General features: G+C 45.5%; 1 long non-coding RNA gene across 6 annotated transcripts in view, besides 1 other annotated feature; it reads right to left on the bottom strand.

Annotated features, from left to right (window-relative positions):
* Positions 1-19,011, bottom strand: part of SOX2-OT (SOX2 overlapping transcript) — a 685,549-nt gene that overhangs the window by 4,607 nt on the left and 661,931 nt on the right. The gene's annotated exons all lie outside the window — the stretch shown is intronic.
* Positions 9,296-10,034: an enhancer, noted in NCBI's record as "OCT4-NANOG-H3K27ac hESC enhancer chr3:181445376-181446114 (GRCh37/hg19 assembly coordinates)". NCBI's record gives its function as "activates a minimal SCP1, AML or CMV promoter by ChIP-STARR-seq in naive H9 embryonic stem cells {active_cell/tissue: H9 hESC(naive)}" and the evidence as "EXISTENCE:reporter gene assay evidence [ECO:0000049][PMID:30033119]".

Raw genomic sequence — 19,011 nt, 5'->3', positions numbered from 1 at the left:
TACAAATCTTTTTTTATTTTTCTTTTTGTTTAGACCGAGTCTCACTCTGTAGCTCAGGCTGGAGTGCAGTGGCACGATCTCCGCTCACTGCAACTCCGCCTCCCAAGTTCAAGCGAGTCTCCTGCCTCAACCTCCTGAGTAGCTCAGACTACAGGCATGCACCACCACACCCGGCTAATTTTTGTATTTTTAGTAGAGATGGGGTTTCACCATGTTGGCCAGGCTGGTCTTGAACTCCTGACCTCAAGTGATCCACCCACCTCAGCCTCCCAAAGTGCTGGGATTACAGGTGTGAGCCACTGCGCCTGGCCTATTTTTCTTTTTAGAATCAAGGTTTGAGAAGTTGGTGAGCTGAGCAAAAAAGAAAATGAGGAATTATGAGATTAAAGTATGAGAAATTTCCCCTAGGTTTGTACTTGAGCTCCACCCTAGGACCAGGAAGGCTGTACTTCAGGAGCAATGCTGATTAAGGGAAGAGGTGCTGGTCTTGTCCACTTCTTGGCCCACCTTAAAACTTTCCCAGAGCTGTTCCTGCAGTGTTCCATTCTAGACACTCTCCACAGGACTATTGTGAGAAGGGCACAGCCTCAGGCAACCTGACCAGTGTCTACTTGCTGCCAAAGCACTGCCACTGGAAAGGAGGCCCACCCTTTTGGCATCCTTCATAGGCCCCTTAGGAAATTGTTAAAGACAGAAACTTTGAAATTGAATTTTAATGATTGTCAGGAAATAAGGGTGAGGTACAGCAGCTGCTCCGGAGCAGCTGTCCCAGCTGCCCTATCCAAGGGACGGCCTGCTTTTTGGCCACCATCTTCCCCCACCCCCGATGAGAGGAAGGGAAGAGGTTGGACAAAAAGGTAAAGGTTTCAACTTTGAGGGCGCCGATTCAGGACCCACATCCACAAACAGAAAACTAAAAGTAAACAAAACAAAACAAAACAAAAGACTTACAACTTCAGAGTCTCAGTTCCAGGCTGCCCAAGTGAATTGTAGGCCCAAGACATTAACTTTTGTGAAGGATGAGGGGGTGGTTGGGCAGAATACAGAGGATCCCCTACTTCTTATACATAATTGCTCACCAGGGAAAGCACAGCCACAACGTAGACAAGGAGGCTGTGAAGGGCCCCAGGGAGAACGGGAGAGCTTGTAGAAGGAACCAGTTTCTCTTCTGGATCCAAATGGCCTGTACTTTGGGGTGACTGCAGTTGGATTAATGCTCCGTTTCCTTCTGTCTGCCTGGGCTGTGTCTAAATGAAAAGCAGACCACAGGATAATGCTCTCCCATCACCAGTTTTCTAATCCCAAAACTCAAGTGCCTGAGAGTGAAACTTCACAAAGAAGTTATTGCCAGCAACAAATTCAGACTGACAAATTGTCGATAATCGCACCTTCAACATGCTGAATGACTTTCAGGCAAGAAATAAGCAGATGCGAGAAGAGCTGCTGGCTGGGTGGGCAAGGTGCAGGCCACAGCCTAGGCTGCAGTTTTCCCACTGTGTCCCTCCACAACAAGGGAATGTGTTCAGTGTGAGGACTGCAGGGCGCCTGCTTGCCTGCTCTAGCTCTTGCTCCCCTTCTTCCTGTCACTCACGTAAACTGCACAGAGGAGCGTCTCTCTTCCCTCTCCTCCAGTTAACCCTTCTGCGTGTGTGTGTCTATGGTCTCAAGCACCCTTGATTTACAGTCACATTACCCAGGTTTACTTTTGATTGAAATCCTGGGCCCCTAGAATGTATTGGACATCTAGTTACTTCTGTATACCTGTACATATTCTGTGACAGATAAAGAATTGATGATATAAAAAATAATATTTTTACCTGTGAATGCATTTGAAAAATGCATGCATATTTTATCATTTAAGAACTTAAGACACATCTGAAAGACATCTTTCAAGGTGTTTGCAGGTTAGTGCTTCTATAATTACCCGCCTCTGTCTGTTCTCCAGCACACACACAGTCACAAGAGTGCTTTTTGATTTATCTTTCCTGTTTTAGACTCACTCCGTGCTTTAAATTTAGGAGCAATTTTAAACACATATATGGATCTAAATATGCATTTATTATATAAGATATGATTTCTTGCCTAGTTTACAAATCCAGTTACCCAATCGTAATGCTTCAAATTAAATTATTAGTCACAGCCCTCCTAGGAGGTTGATTTAGCTACAGAAGTTTGGGTTCAAAATTTAATTCACTATTCCATTTTCTGTAAGTTGAATTTTGATTTCTGCATTTAAATACAACACAGCAATTGAATTAAGGGTCTTCTTGTTAAACTGGAGGCTTTTCTAATTTCTCTGAACTCTATAGATGAACTACATTGTCACATAATCGATAGGAAAATCTCAGCTGTCACAGATCCTAAGCAACCCTCTGCCACAGAAATAACACGACCTGGCATTTCTGAGTTTGAAAATGTGTTGTTTGGATGACATGAGACCAGAACTACCCAGACGGCTTTAAATATTGTGGTCTCTAAGAACTGCTGAGGACTGACCTGCTGAGAATGACTGAAATACTTCAAATAGGCTTTTCTCCTGGTTAGAGACCAGGTGTTGCCTTTTTTTCTTCCATAAATAAGTAATACAAGAGCCAGTGTATTGGTATCTGAGATTCAAAGCTGTTTCTAAGCTCAACTAAGTTTGCTGCCATACAGTTCGTATCAGAATTTCAAATTAAGTGTTTTCTTCCCCAAACCAATAAGAAATTCAGGCTTGGATTTGAGTCCAAATCTGAAACTAATGCCCAACAATCTTAAAACCTGTCCTTTGAAGCTTTAGATCATTCCCATCAACATGAGCAGGGTTTCTGCAGTAGATAAATCCTTCAGCTCAGAAGAAACTGAATGGCATCTGATAATAAATAACGTGAACCCATAAAATGACAGCAAGCCATTTCTCTGCCTCAATGCCACTGTTTCTTGCTGAACTCTCAGCATTGTCTCTACAATCTGCCACACACATATGTTGCCATATCACAAGAGAGCATGAGGAAGATGTATCCATATCTGTATCCTCTCCATTTTTATCTATAATACACTACTCAGCTACTCTTAAACTAATGAGTCATTTCACCGAGGGCATTTTTTAAGGTGTCACTGGGTGGCCCTACCCTAAAATCTACCCCACTTGGTAGATTAGATTATGTAGTAAATATCTTAATTTAGTTCAGAAGAACCTTGCTAAAAATGCTTATGACCTTGTCATACTATGAATCATGTACACACCAAATGTAAAAATATTCTGATTTATCAATTTGCTCTGTCAGAGAGTTTATGTATTAAATATTACAGTTAGTTACACTTTGCCTGCATGGGCTCATCTATACAAAGAAATGCACTAGAGGGGAATCAGATGATAGCAACCTAAGTGACACAGATTCAGTTTATAACTTCAAAGCATGGATGTGTAAAACTTTTTTTTTTGTTTTTCTTTTTGAGGCGGAGTTTTGCTTTTTCACCCAGGCTACAGTGCAGTGGCACGATCTCGGCTCACTGCAACCTCCGCCTTCTGGTTTCAAGTGATTCTTCTGCCTCAGCCTCCTGAGTAGCTGGGATTACAGGCGCCCACCAACACGCCCGGCTAAGTTTTTTATTTTTTAGTAGAGACGGGGTTTCACCACATTGGCCAGGCTGACCTTGAACTCCTGACCTCGTGATCCACCCGCCTTGGCCTCCCAAAGTGCTGGGATTACAGGCGTGAGCCACCGCGCTTGGGCTGTGTAAAACTTGTCTAAAACTAAAGCTGTTGGAGGCTGCATCTCCTACGTCTACCATCAGTAGGATCTTTGGGCTGAACCAAGAAACACCACCTCTAATTAGTTCAACTGTCATCAGGGAAGCACTGCATCAGGCCAGGTATTTTGCTTTTATTCAACTCTAGAAGAAAATGGGACAACTTGGACTAATATAAAAAGCCAACATTTCAAATTGGCTTCATTTCTCAAGATCTTAGAAGCTCCCAACCCACTGAGGCTATTTTTTGGCAACCTTATTCTAGCTCCAAACTCTCCTGTTAACACAGGAGAGTTTATCCATTATCGTAGTCCGCAGGCTTCTCCATAGCTGTAAGTTGACATTTGGAAATTATGTCACGCCAAAGAGCCCCAAACCTATCCAGGAACCAAGTTATTTATTTCTGAGGCAGCTGTCAATTGTGGAGGTGGAACAGAGAAGGTAAGAACTAGGCACATAATATCCGGGCTGGGAGTGGCTGACCTCTGATTATCTATCAAGGAGAGGTGACTGATGAAAACACGTTCATTTCTTGGATGCTTGATCAGTGTGTGAATTTGCCTTGTTTACAATTAAGGGAAATGATTAAACCCCAGCCCAGTCTTAAACACTGAAGAGTTGTATTTAATTTTTGTAAATGTGCTGTATTAAGCTATCTTGTCCTTGATTTCCAAGATACAAATCACATAAGGTCAATACTGCAAGTTTGATGATTTGCCTGCATTCTTAATCACATAGCACAGAGACATGAAGCACTGAATGTAAGGGATGTACTGACAACCCCAGCATATATGGCTCTAATATTTTAGGGTCAGGCCAGGCGTGGTGGCTCACACCTGTAATCCCAGCACTTTGGGAGGCCGAGGTGGGCAGATCACGAGGTCAGGAGTTCGAGACCAGCCTAGCCAACATAGTGAAAACCCGTTTCTACTAAAAATACAAAAAAAATTAGGCCAGGTGCAGTGGCTCACGCCTGTAATCCCAGCACTTTGGGAGGCCGAGGCGGGTGGATTACCTGAGGTCAGGAGTTCGAGACCAGCCTGGCCAACATGGTGAAACCCCGTCTCTACTAAAAATACAAAAATTAGCTGGGCGTGGTGGCACATGCCTGTAATCCCAGCTACTCGGGAGGCTGAGGCAGGAGAATTGCGTAAGCCCGGGAAACGGAGGTTGCAGTGAGCCGAGATCATGCCACTGTACTCTAGCCTGGCCGGCAGAACGAGACTCTGTCTCAAAAAATAATAATAATAATAAAAATAAAAATACAAAATACAAACAAATTAGCTGAGCATGGTGGTGGGAGCTTGTCATCTCAGCTACTCAGGAGCCTGAGGCAGGAGAATCCCTTGAACTTGGGAGGTGGAGGTTGTGGTGAGCCAAGATTGTGCCACTGCACTCCAGCCTAGGCAACAGAGCGAGACTCCGCCTCAAAAAAAAAAAAAAAAAAAGGTTTATTTCTTTACATACTTCATACTTGCACTCACTTTCTCTCTCCTCTACCCCCAACAGGAAATATTGCTTTCTCTGACCCTCTGCAATCTAACCTTAACACTACAGAAACCATGAGCTGGAGATAACTGCTTGCTTGCAGTACTATTTATGAAACAGTCTCTTTTTTTCTTCCCTAGGAATCTATCCCAAAGGATTGAGCAATGTGCTGTGCTGCTACTCCACTAGATCTGAGTGAAAAGGTGGGTGCTGCAAGACCATCTTAACCCTTGCAATGGTCTGGCCAGCAGCATCTGCTTTGTTACCTAGTTCCGTGAGCTCATTCTCAGCTTAATTTTAGAAACATATCTAGGTCTACATTTATCTATTTAAATGTCCTCCAGTGTTTGTCAGTACTGTGCCACTGGCCAGGTGCGGTGGCTCATGCCTGTAATCCCAGCATTTTGGGAGGCCGAGGCTGGAGAATCACCTGAGGTCAGGAGTCCAAGACCAGCCTAGCCAACATGGTGAAACCCCGTCTCTACTAAAAATACAAAAAAATTAGCCAGGTATGGTGGCAGGTGCCTGTAATCCCAGCTACTTGGGAGGATGAGGCAGGAGAATCGCTTGAACTCGGGAGGCGGAGGTTGCAGTGAGCCGAGACCGCACCATTGCACTCCAGCCTGGGCAACAAGAGCAAAACTCCATCTCAAAAAAAAAAAAAAAAAAAAAGTACTATGCCACCAATCCTGGCACATGTGTCTCTTCTATGTAACGTCTGTCATTACACAAAGCATTATAAAAACGTAATTTGCAACCTTACAATATACCCTTACTACAGAAATCATTACATTAGCATAACAAGCACAAAGTTCCAAGGTAGTAATTTGGTTATAGGTCTAAAATCCTTCCAGTTCCATCAGATTTCTATGGACGTATGGTATTGCCCTTCTGCAACTAAGGGCTGGGTCAGTGGATCTCTTGCATGAAGGAAGTTCTGCTGGGTGAACAGTTTGTCCTTAGGGACTCAAAGTCAGAGTTGGAACATTTCTTAAAGAATCAAGATACCTTCATCTCTTTTTTTTTCTTCCTCTTTTTATTTCTTCTTGACCACCAAGGAAACATGTCTTGAAAGGTATTCTTCCACAGGTGTTTCATTAGACATGTGCAAATATCAGGATTTATCTCATAGGCAATACAAGCACTTTTGGTCTTCCTGCTGGGGGATGGAGTTTGGGAAATTTGACTTCTATCTACCCTGCCATTTGTGGAGGTACAGATTAGCCGCAACTCTGCTGAGGCAGGATTGGTGGTGGTGGTAGGGGTCAGTAAGATTGAGATGTATTCAGATGTTAATTTACACCTGAAAAGACAAAATGTAGTCACCCCATTGGGGGTGACTTGAGTTTCTGCTGAATAACAGCCATGAGTGCTTCCTTGTGAAAGATGAAAGTTGAAATTGAGGGGGCAAGTAGTCTGAAAGTTATGGGAACAGGAAGAGAAGGAGCAGGGACAGCCTTGATGAATAAAACAAAATGAATTTAGCCATCAGTTGTAAATCTATTTTCAACTCTTCCTTCTCAGTGAAGTTTTAAGATACAACGGAAGATGGTAATTTCCACTTTACTAAATATTTGGAGATTGTCTATGGAATCCGAAAGTGTTGGTGTGAAATAAGAATGAAGAATTAGCCTCACTTTTCTGCCATTTGGATGGGTTTTCTTGTTCCACATAGTCTGTTTAACAACTGCTATCCACCTTGCTTAATGGAATCCCTAAGTACCCCGGGAGTAACTAAGGAAAAAAAAATCCTTCTACATTCCACCACTGCCTTTAACCTCAAACGATAGTAAAGGGTTCATTCAGACCCCAGGACCACACTGAGGCATTAATTAGGCTGATGAAATCCATCGAAATGTATGGATTCAGCATAATCAAGTTTCTACCACAGACTATCGTTAAGGAATACGTGAGCAGCTGGGAGAATAGAAAGTACTGTTAGAGTTAAGTCATGCATGTAATTGAGTATATTTAACATAACCATTTTAATGATCAGTGATTAAAAGTGCATCTTACTTAAATGGTATATCCTCTGCAATTTGTTCATATCAACTTGATAATGTTCTCAAGAGGAAAAAGTAGGGATACACATTTCTAAACAAGATCTTGTTTGAGTTTGGGGGAAAAAAGCAGGAAAGTGAACTAGAAAGAAAAATGTGGCTTTTGCATGCAGACAGCTACATGAGTGTGATATAAATTAATCACTGTTGTGGACACCTTCTGTGCTCAGTTCATACAAAGTATTAGGAATATATAATAAGTGATTTTGTTATTCCTCAAAAAGAATATATTTTTCCTTAAAGATGCTTTCTCTGTTTGACATTTTTTTTTAAGGGGGCAGGGGTATTGCTGCTCAAATCCTGTTGATTTTAAGAGCTTCCCTTAAGATCCTGGGAGGTTCATATTTCCAATTCTTCTTCCAACCTGTTGGGTTGGCTTATCTTAGTGGAACTTGCCTCTGTGAAGATAACAGTGGGAAGAAGAGCAGGCATCACACGGAGAAAGATGCACCCACATATGACGGACCAAGAGCACAAACAGTTCAGAAACCCGCAAAGGGGAAATTAGCTGTTCAAATCAGCGAGGGGCCTGAACCAAAAGCCCACGCGTTTAGAGGCAGACTCTGCTCTCCTCTATTCACTCGGACCTGGCCAGTTAAATGGAGTCATTGTGGAGCCATGCACAAGCCAGCCCCACTCCTTTTGTCGTATTTTCTCAGCTTTTGTGCTCAAAACACGCAAATCACTGATTACTTTGCCCAGGAAAGAATCGAAGGAGAGAGGTGGATCTAGATCTACAACCAGAAGTGTGTAAATCATACAACACCTACACATCTATGCAGGCACTAATAAAAGTGAGGGTTTAGAAGGGATGCCCAGCTCCCAAAAGTTGCTTCACAGGGCTCTTTTTATCTCCCTTCACCCCTGCCCCCACTCCTATAGAGAAACAAATCTATTCTCCCGCTCAAAATAGGGTTGAAGAGTGGCACATCTTGAATGTCGGGGAGTTGCACCAAAACTTTTACAAACCTGCGAGAGAAAGGAAGCCACAAGCACGTAAAAGTATGTTGGCACATACTATTCGGCTTGCTGCAAACAAAACAAAAATGTTTTCAGGGAAAATTCATTTGATGCCTTTCTTTTCACCCAAAAGCATGTTTTCTTTGGCTTGGAGGGACAGCTCTTGGGAAATCAGGTCTCTCAAGGAGCACTCCCACCCCCAACGTATAGTCTATAAATATAGTGGAAGAGCCATGCCAGGGGTAGTAAGTGCAAGAGAATCTGGAGTCTTGAAAGCATCTTTTTCTTCTGGCTATGGTGGCACTTAAATGATAATGCGGGCAATGGAGCTGGGAGATTTATATCTTTTGGAAAGTAGGGCGAGCCAGATGGTAATAGCGTCATTAACACACAAACTTGGGATGTGCAAGTGAAGCTTGAAATTGGGAAAGAGATCAGGAGAACAAAGGGGGCTGCTGTTGAAAGGCTACCCCTCTTCTGCCGGGCAAAGCTAAGAGCCCCTTGGTACTGGGGTCTGCTCCTGCCCAGAACTGGATAATAAACGACAGCTTTCCCCCTCCCCTGTTGTGACTTAGAAAGCACCAAGAAAACTTTTGCAATAGGCAAATTCGGCACTTATTATGTGTAACCCTTTGTAGTCTGAAGTGGCAGGAATGGGCCTTTAATCCAACTGCACTTCCACCCCACTCCCTACCCCAGTTTGATAAGCCCTAGCAATTGTTGACATTTATTTTATAAAATCAAAGTGCCGCTTGTTGTATGTTTCAGACAAAAGTTCATTTCCCTCCCCTTATGTAAATACTCTAAGTAAATATTAAAGGTTGAACAGCACTACATTTTCATTTTGGTGACAGCGGTTGGTGTGAAGGTGCTGAGGGGGGTTAAACTCTAGTTTTACTTTGTAAAGCTTTAACCTTTACGTTAACTCCCACTGAGTAGGTATAATTCAGAGAGAACAGAGAAGGCATTAAGACAAGATTAACAATGGCATTAATAATAATAATGCATGTTTACAATAAACACCCCCACACACCTCTATAAACAGGCAAGGAGGTATGAAACTAAAGAAAATGAAATTAATAACATTGTTCTCCTTTTTATAAACACAAAGTATGTATGTAGGTACATACACACACACATACATATATACACACATATGTATATGGTTTCTAGGAAGACAGCAAGGGTAACTAACGGTCATTAAGTATTGACTGGCTTGAGTGATGCCTGTTAGCGACTAAAAGTTGACGAGGTCTAAACTAAAATCGAACGTTTTTCTTTTTATTCTTTAAAAAAAAAATACTAGAGCTCTTTAAAAGCCCGGAGGACTTACCCTCAGGGATTATTCAGAGAAAAACTGAGACTGGCCGTTCGTCACAGGCAATTGTAAAGGGTTTCAAAGGGCCGATCAAACGATCGCCAGAGTAATCTACATTCAAGTCCGGATGATGGTGTTACGGCACACACCTGCGGGGTGTTTGCTGTCCGTGCCCCTCGCCGAGCTACAAATCATCATTAAAGCGAGCTGCTTAAGCTTCTTCCCAGCTTCTAGACAAGAGTTACTTGGGACAGTTCACTTTGATATTGCTGCAGCTCGCAATTGACAAGCAAGCTATTTTGGAGCTCAAGCCAGAGCCCACATCCTAATGCGCTTCGCGAAAGTAAGCAGGGTGGTTGGGGGCAGGGAGGGGTGAGCAATTGCAAAGGTCTGTCTCTTTCGCCAATTTCCAGAGCAGAATCACCGCAAAAATGTGTAGGAAACCAGGTTAAATCAGCTGAAACCCGCCTTGAGTTTCTAGTGAGGGCCCTCCCAAAACTTCTTTACTACAACTTTTAACCGACCCATACTGTGGACATAATCTCACCACCTCAGTTTCCCTCCTTCCTTCTCTTAAGTACCCACAGTCGGGTCAGCACCCAACCTCCATCAGGGTTGGTATCTAGTTTGAAACTTTCACTTTTGGTTCCTTGGTTTGCGATTATTTTCCCCCTTTTTGTGCGGACTGTGCCCTCGCTGCTCTCACTGCCCTCACCTTGAGGGGGAAAATAATCCGGAGTTGGGTAAAAAAGAAAAAGAAAGAGACTTGAGGGTCGGACAGCTGGAGGCGGGGAAAGGGGGGGGGTCGATGTGGGTTTCTGTCTGCGTCTGCCTGAGTGCCTGCAAGCCCTCGGCAATCCGCGTGCGACCCACTGGCGGGGGCGGGGTGGGGGAATTAACCGGCTATCGGTGATGCCAAGATCAACACTCGGAGCGAATGTATCAATAGACCAATTTTCTGCTCTTACCGCGAGCTTTTTCGTTTCAATCCAGAGTGGAGGTGTCTGCGCTGCGCAAGACGCAACAGCACAGTGGCGTCAGGCAAAAAAAAAAAAAAAAAAAAAAAAAAAAAGAGGGCGCTAGATGCGGGAGGCGCAAATATGGAAATTAACTCATTAGGAAGGGGTGTGGTTACCGCGAAGCCCCCTCCTCCATCCCGTCCTTTCTCCCTTGCTGCCACCGTCCCGGCTTGCTAAATATGAGATTACAAACAAACAAATAAAGCAGAAGCTGACTACGCAGTCCCAGATCAAACACGCTCCAGATAATTCGCTTCACTCAGCGCTGCGGCCAGATCTGCAGCTCAGCGCTGGCCCCTGACGCCCGCCGGTGTTTCAGCGCCCCCTCCACGCCAGCCCCGGCTGCCGCAGCTCTGAAAGGCAGGGCCCGCGGCGGCGTTTCGAAGGCACAGCACGTGGCCCTGACGCCCCGTTTGGTATACGTTTTAAAACATCAGACAAACGCTTCCACCAATATGGTGACCGTCTGAGGCCTTCTGCTGATCTCAGAGGTCCTCTCCTAAATGCTGCCTGAAGAGGATGAGGGTGGTGGTGGTCTCTGGGAGAAAAACAAAAAACAAAACAAACTAGAAAGTAATGTCCCAGAGTCCCTGGCCAAGAGGCTTTTCCCGGGGCGCCGCACTCCGCGAGAGGTATCAGTAGTGGAGGGCTCCGAGAATACGGAGGCTGGGGCCTGGAGGGGGTCTGAGCGTTGAAGTCCCGAGTTGCGATATTATTAACCAAAGACCAGGTTACCAAGATTGAGGGCGAGGAGGCTGGAGAATCTGCAGTGCATAATTATGTGCCGAAATAAAATGTTTCAGTGGGGGGAAAGGGGGTAAAAAGAACACGCAAAACCTCTCAACACCCCCACCCCACCCCGCCCCAGCTGCCCTGCCCCTAGGTCCTCAAAGCCTGCCTCTGTGCAGGGCTAAGGGAAAAAATGGCACTTTTATGGTTTTCCTTCCTGCGTGGCTCGCCTCCTTGTCCCTGCTCCCTGCCTGGCGCTCCCCCAGCTGCGGGCCCCTTGGAGGAAGGCTGCCCAGTCCCCTCGTCTCCCGCTGCCTGCAGGCCACCGAGTCTCAAAGCACGCATTGTCCAGCGGGGGCGGGGAGGCCAGCAGACCCATGGAGAAGAATAACACTGCGCCCAGCTCCTGTTAGGGAAAGTTTCCCAAATGCACTCCTTGTGGTAACATACTACTTTAAAAGATGGGGGGGCGGGGGGGATACGTTTTGAAAATCCGCTGCTTTCTCCAATTCTTCACCCTCTCCCCGTCACTTTTTAGGTCCTGAGAAAGAGAGTGGACCGGGAAGAAACTGGAAGGTGGCATGGAGGGCCAAAAATGTGAACCTGACTCTAGAGCAGTCAATGTGATGGTTTTTAAATGCAGGTGGGAAGAGTGAAGGGGGGATGTCTTCTCCCACGTCTGGTTGGGAGACAGATGCATGGCCGGTGCGCTGGGGGTTGCAGGAAGACTGGGCCACGAGGGCGCGTGTGCAGGCAAAGCATTTTGCACCTCCTGTTTATCTTAGAAACGGGGCGGAGGGGGGTGGGTGGGGAGCGATTGTTCTGCTTCCCGACAGGCAGAAGAAGTTGAATAAAATGGAGAGGCGGGCACACGCAAAAACAAAAACTGCTGCAGGCTCAGAGTCTTTCTCCTTGACCCGAATTCCAAATGGTGGGGGCTCTTCATTTGCAAAGGACTCCGATGTCTGAAGACCCCAGAGACAGCGGTCCTTCAGTGACGGCAAAAGCCGCGATAGAGACCGTTAGAATTGGGGCTTTTGGGGCAAATGTAATTAATCTTTCATTCGAGCAGCGGGGACCCATTCCTTCTAGGCGTTGTCGTCTGCATTGTAGTTCTCTGAGTTTCATGTGCTCTTCCAGGCGTTTGCAAAATAATGGCTCAGGTCCCTTGCAAAACTCTGCCTGAAACAAGTATATTCCAAGACAGTGCGGTAGCGAATAGGTTTTAAAAATCAAATCAAAACAAAGTAAAACCAAAAAAAAAAAAAAAAAAAAAAGTCCCAGGCCCATGCTCTTGGTGTCCAACCACCAAAATGAGGGAAGGGGAGAATAAGTGGTTGTGGCTATTTGGGAGTCGCGCTAATTTGGTGTGTGGACTTAATGCCTTAACGCTAAATCGGCAATATAAAGGGCTGAAGAGCAAGCCCGATAAAAGCTCTAATTACTACTGGAAACTTTAGGTGGTTGCTAGGATCTGAGGACCACCACCACCACAAAAAAAAAAAAAAAAAAAAAACCCTCCAATAGAGTGTTTGGACTGCGTATATGGGGGTGGGGGGTAGAGCTTGTAGAGGCGAATAGTACCCACATCTGCTGGAACTTCCATATCTAAGCTGTTCATTTACGGGAGCCAACTTATGAAATCTCCACAATTAGATCTTCATTGTTCTTCCTCCACAACACTGTCTAGAAAGAAAAGGTCTTCTCGGTCGGGGCCAATCCAACGAAGCGTTTGACGTTATTAAATAATAAAGCGATTGTGATTTACATTGTTGTTCAGAAAAAAAGGCCAATTATCCACTGTTATGTTGCCATAAAGATCATATTAACTCGAATTAGTAATCAAACAATATGCGAGCGTTTAAAAAAGTACAGCCGAACTGGGTGACAGCTACCGCGACGTCTTCACTTTCACCAGTACACCCGCGCCGGCAGCGGGAGCGAAAAAGGCAGACGCCGCAGACCCGAAAGGAGGGAGAGAGCAGCAAAGTGGTGATTAACGGCTCCAGTGTTAATTATTCTCAATTAATCCCAAACAGTGCAAACCTTCCCTGGTTCCCTGCAAGTTCCCTGGTTCCGATGCTCTGAGAATTCTGCCTGTCTGGGAGGAGTTTATAAGAACTACGGAAGAGGCAATTTCCACACAAGTGTACCTGTGAGCAAAGGGGGTAGGAGTGCAAGTGTGTGTACGCATGTTGTGTGTGGTGAGTGTGATTGTGAGGTTCACTACCTTTCTCAGAGCCTGGCGTGCACCCCGAGGTAGATGCCGTGGTGGGCAAGGCCCGCAGCATCTTCACGACCCTAGTGAATCTTGCGTCTTCTCTACTCAAATCACCCTCTCTCGTCCTCTGTTATTAGGTTTATAACTCGTTGCCCACTTAAATTTGTGCAGCCAACCACGGAAATCTAAATAGGTTTGAGTCGCCCCATGGGTACAGAATGGAGGCTTTAATAAGAAAGATTAATTGTGGGTGTGTACCGGCCGGAAGACGCGTTAGCTATCAAGTGGCGGCTGGCTGTGGGTCGAGGGGCGGGAGACGCCTCTCCTAGGTCTAGACGTTAGTAGGCGCCGTAGGCATACTCTAAACGCGGGCCACCTAGCGACTCGTAGTCACAAGCAAGCAAAGGGCTACACAGCACTCTTACCATCTTTTCCTGTGTTGAGGTTTTAAATAACTTGTCCTTTACTTACCCTGCACATCAAATCTTCTCGCCCTGCGCCCAGCACCGCCAGACCCCGCATTCCTGGTGTCCATGCGGAGGAGAGGGGACTTGTGACCGCTCTCCTAGGAGGTCTACCTATTCCCGCCCCCATCTACTGAACAATATTTAGGCGAATGATTGATACGTTTTGCTCCTGGGGCTAGAATGTTGATATTTTTTGTTGCCGTGATGAAACATGTGTATGGCTACATGTGTTTTTTAATACACACATGTAAGCAAGTAGGGAGTAATTTTCCCCAGAGAGATGTTTCAGCAAGTCAAGGCACAGGGGAGAATCAGCCAGCGGCAGGGCCGCGGGGATCTCTCCAGGCGCAGTGGTGGCACTGAGGGAACTGTCCTTGCCCGCAGTGGTGGCACTGAGGGAACTGTCCTGGCCCTTTCCTCACCCCTCCCTCTTTCAGCTAAAATGTTCAGATCCGGGACTAAGAAGTGGCGAAGTGGGCGGGGGCAGAGAGGAGTAGGGACTGGGTCGGGGATGAAGGAATTGGCTAGAATAGTTTGTCTAGTAGTGTGCCCCCCTTGAGTAATTCCATTTAAAACTTGAGGCACCAAGGCCTGGGCTTCAACAAATGTAAAACGAACTCTTGGAAGGTCCAGTCCTTGCAGCAGCAGGACAGCCAAAAGGTGGTCGCATCTTTGTTCAGAGTTTTAAAACAGTTGCTGCCTTTCCTAACCCTCTTGTTTTCCTCCACACCCCTCTTCCCAGTAAAACCAATTCAAAAGGGGGCAGAACTCCACTCCACAAGATTAATGTTTGTTAATTTGTAGGATTAACCATCTCATGAAGCATAATAAAATACTAGAGGTGCTCTTACCTTTAAATAAATACATAAAATTTGTGCCTTCTCTCCTTTCCTGTTTGATCTCTCTCAGGACATGGAAAACAGTGTCTTGGAACCTAATAAGTCTTAGAAGAACTTTTAACTCAGAGTTTTCACATCATCTGGGGTTGCTGTGGGCATTGGCATTGGGAGAGGATGTGGAGACCAGCTTACTTTTAATATCTATAGCTATACATTCTGGTTTGGAACTCACGATTAAAAATCTATTTGTTCCTCCCAGGGCTCTGCGGATTTCAATGTTGGTCATAGGAGCCGCAAAATGTTCATTAAAGGAACCTAACCAAGGCTACTGTATGGCCACTTTGTGAACTCAGAACTATGGATGGGGGGAAAAGTATGAAAGTGTGAGTTGATGTCACGCTGGCTGTCAGTGTGTGGTCTATTGTGGAGAATGGTGCTTTTTGACTGAACAGAGGGAGCCCCCCTCCCCCCTTCCCCAGCTCTACTGCACCTGCACTGGATGAGGGAGTCCCTGCCATTCAGCCCATCGCAGATTGTTCAAACAGAAGACATCTCTGACAGCACTCAATTCATTACATTTCTTCCTGCTTTTCAAACCAACACACACACACACACAAAATGAGTATTGCCAGCCAGTGACAGCCAAAAAAAAAAAAAAAAATCTTAAATACTTTATATGCAGCTAATTTGGAAGCTCATACAACTAACCATGAAATATTTTGTATCCTTAACTTGTAAGGCTTCCTGGGGGTGGGGGGAACGGTTGAAATTACCTGATTTTTCCAATTGAGAATATATCTCCATAGTTTATACGGGGATAGTAAGTTTGTAGAAAGACACTGCTAGCATGGGGCAGAAAGACATTTCGATGAGAATAAAAGCAGAAATGTGCAAAAGAGAAAAGCCTCTGATTTATCACAGCAGATGAGCCTGTTGATATGCATTCATAATTTATGCTGGGGGAACCAGCTTGCTAATAGAGGTGGGGTACCCAAGAACCAGGAGTGGGCAGTGAGGGAAGTAAGAGTGGGTAGTAAGGGAAGCATTGATGCTGAAGTGTAAGCTAAACATTTAAATCAATTTCTTAACAAGGCAGTCTTCCCCCCATATGCTCAAGTTTATTTTGCCATCTTGGATTCCAAGATGTTTTTGCACCATTTCACAAAGCTGATGAGACAGTGTTTAGAAAGCTGATGAGAGCGTGTTAGTCTAGTTTAACAGAAGTTGGGGTAAACAAACTCTCAAAGGGAAACTTGATTTTAAGATAGTTTCCTTGGAGGTGGGAGGAAGGAGAAATAGAGAAAGGGAGGAGGGCCTTGAGAAGGAGAAGACAGGTTTGCCATTTAGTATTCCAGACTGATTAAACTCTAATATTATGCAATAACCCCGATTTGAGCTGTTAAGTGTGATAAAATCGACCTGGATGTGAGCTGATACTAAACTGACTGCATGCAAAATATTGGCTAATCGTTACTCTGTGAGATCCTGGACCAATATCAGAACATAAGGCCTGCTTTCCAGGATCCTTTCCATTGGAAGGGCATTCAATAAATCAAATTGATTTGAGAGTTGGAAAGAAAACTTGAGAAGTGCATCTCCCAGAAATCCAGAAATGCCCAGGTGCTTTTCCCTAACAAATACTTCTATGCCACTTACACACATTCCACTGACCAGATAATCTTTCCTCTTATCTACAATTTAAATCACAGTTCTAAGAAATTCTCTCAGCAATACATGACTCTAAAAAGATTTTTAAAAGCTATACAAATTCTTAGGAATAGAGGGGAAAGAGAAAATAGAACTAGTGCAGCAATGGTAAGCCTGGAGCAATTGTCCTAACCATGGCTGGATATGAGAGCCAGAAAACTCTTCTAAGTCCATTTCTTAAATCGCCGCTGAAACTTGCACCGGGTTAAATAAAGCTATGGTGTGCTTTGTAAAGGCATTTGTCGTAATTTGTCGACCGTCTAAAAACAAAAACATACAAACACAACAGAAACAACTCATTCAGATCCCACAACAAATTGTGGCTAACAAACTAAATAACATATATATATTTGGAAGAAGGGCGGTCCTGTGACGAGAGTTGTGCGCGTGACTATATACGTACTTAGGATTATGGTTACTTGTATATGTGGTTATGTTCTGGAGACGGGGTCTGGGGGGCGGCCAGGGGCCTCGGGAGCCTCCCAAACTGGGGCTTGGTAGTGGTGATGGAGCTGGGCTGCACTGGCCTCGCCCTGTAAGCGTTCGGATTGCCCTTTCTGGAACACTCAAACGAATCATTTCATCCCCGGAGCCCTGCAGGCCCTGACGTCACGAGGTGGGGGTGGGGGCGCAGTCCCGCTTCTGGCCTGGCCGCCAGCGATAAGAACCCTTGGGAAGAATTCACCGCTCCTTATTTAATACAGTAATTATTTTTCTGCCTTCTGCGGGTGGGGGCGGGTCCTGCCCGGAATGCCGGGATCCCTCCCTTCAGGACGATGCCCAGGGATGGCAAGTTTGCAAGATAACTTCCTAGGCAAATCTTAAGTCAGAGAGAGCACTGGAAAAGTAAGAAGGGTGGTATGAACAAGACTAATTTCACTGTCCAGAGCCAGGAAGGCCAGAAAGGACCGGGGTTTCTGTATTGTTCTCTGTAGTCTAACGTGAGAACTGCTTCCCTTCCCTAATTCTGCTGGGCAGTAAGTAAAGTCATGCTTATCAATTAAGCCTGTTTTGTCAGGCACTCTGTATTCATCTTCTTCGAGGTAACTATATATTATCCCTATCTCACAAGTGGGAAAGTGAAGGGTCTGTATCTTCCCATCCCTACCTGCTCTAATCCAGAGGGGCCCAATATTCCAGGGATCCCAGATTGCTCCGGGGGCTTCCCCCAGCCCTGCCAATCCTCGGCCTCTAATCGGGAAGAACCGAGCGAGATCACTAATACTGAGATTTGGCCACAAACAGGGACAAACATCCCCTTGGGTAGACAATCTCTGATGTGGGTGGGAATCTGGGGCCTAGACACCGTCTCCCGTGTCACGAGGTCAACATGGAGAGGGCTTGGGCTGGGGCGCAGGAGGCAGAGGACTCTGGAGTGGTGAGGGCCCCAACGCCTCGGGAGACTTTCTAGACTTGTCTGACGCGGGTCGGTGCCTGAGGGAGAGGGAATGCGACCGTTTGAGCAGAGCCCGGGCAGAGAGAACTCGAGCCCCACACAGCACCTTCTTGGGGAGCCCCATGGGTGAGGTGACCCGGGCCGCGGTGACGTCAGGTCCACCCGCCGGAGCTCGTCAGCTCGGCCTCAATTTGCCCGCGCGTCGGCTCTCAGCACTGGGCACTGCGCGCTCCCCAGGGCAGCCGGCGGGAGGCCGGCGCGCTCACAGCCCGGAGCCGTGGCCCGCGCGGAAGCTGGGAGAGCTAGGCAAATGATAGTTCAAAGCGCCGAACTCTATATAAAACAGTGCACCCTTCATTCTGTACACGCAGGCAGACTAGGGTAATAAAACGAAGGACACCTCCAGCTTTCAAATCACCTGACACTTCTTTGCAGAGTAGAACAAGCATCTCAAGTTCAAACGCCTAGGTGAAGCAAATATCTTTGCATCCCGAAATGAGAAGACATTCTATTTGCTTTAGGAGAGAAACTGAGCAAAGTGCTCAAGGAATCAGAAATATCACCATTATACCAAAGTATAAAATAAAATCCATCTGAACTCCGAATAGAGAAAGAGAGCTTTCTGCCACAGACAAGAATCTTAGACTTATCTTAATACTCCACCCTTCCAAAGAGAAATCCCCTTAGTCAAAATAAGAAAGTCAAGTCCATTATTTTCTAAAGGCCACAGAAGCAAAATAGACAAACTGAAAACAAGAATCATAAAACTGGACAGCACTGTTAGCAGGGAGAGAGGAGGTTACAAGTGTCTCTTGGTGGTAACAGATGTCGGGTTTCCAGAAAAGTTTTAATAGAAAATAACTATGAAAGACACTAAACTAATTATCTGGTTTGGGCAACTTTCCTGTCTTTGGGAAGCTCCTTCCACAGCTTTTCTTACTCTAGAACTCCGGAAACTATGTCCTTTTGGACTGTATCCATATTTTCACAGTAAAGGTCAGAGTTTCTCCCCCTTCTTCCTTCTTTGAGGGATTCACCTCATAGGTGAAGTCCTTAGGAAATCCATCCAGCCCTC

Source organism: Homo sapiens, chromosome 3 (assembly GCF_000001405.40).
Source record: "Homo sapiens chromosome 3, GRCh38.p14 Primary Assembly".
Classification (NCBI taxonomy): Eukaryota; Metazoa; Chordata; class Mammalia; order Primates; family Hominidae; genus Homo; species Homo sapiens.
The sequence above is the reverse complement of the archived record's forward strand: the minus strand, read 5'-3'. Positions and strand labels throughout refer to the sequence as shown.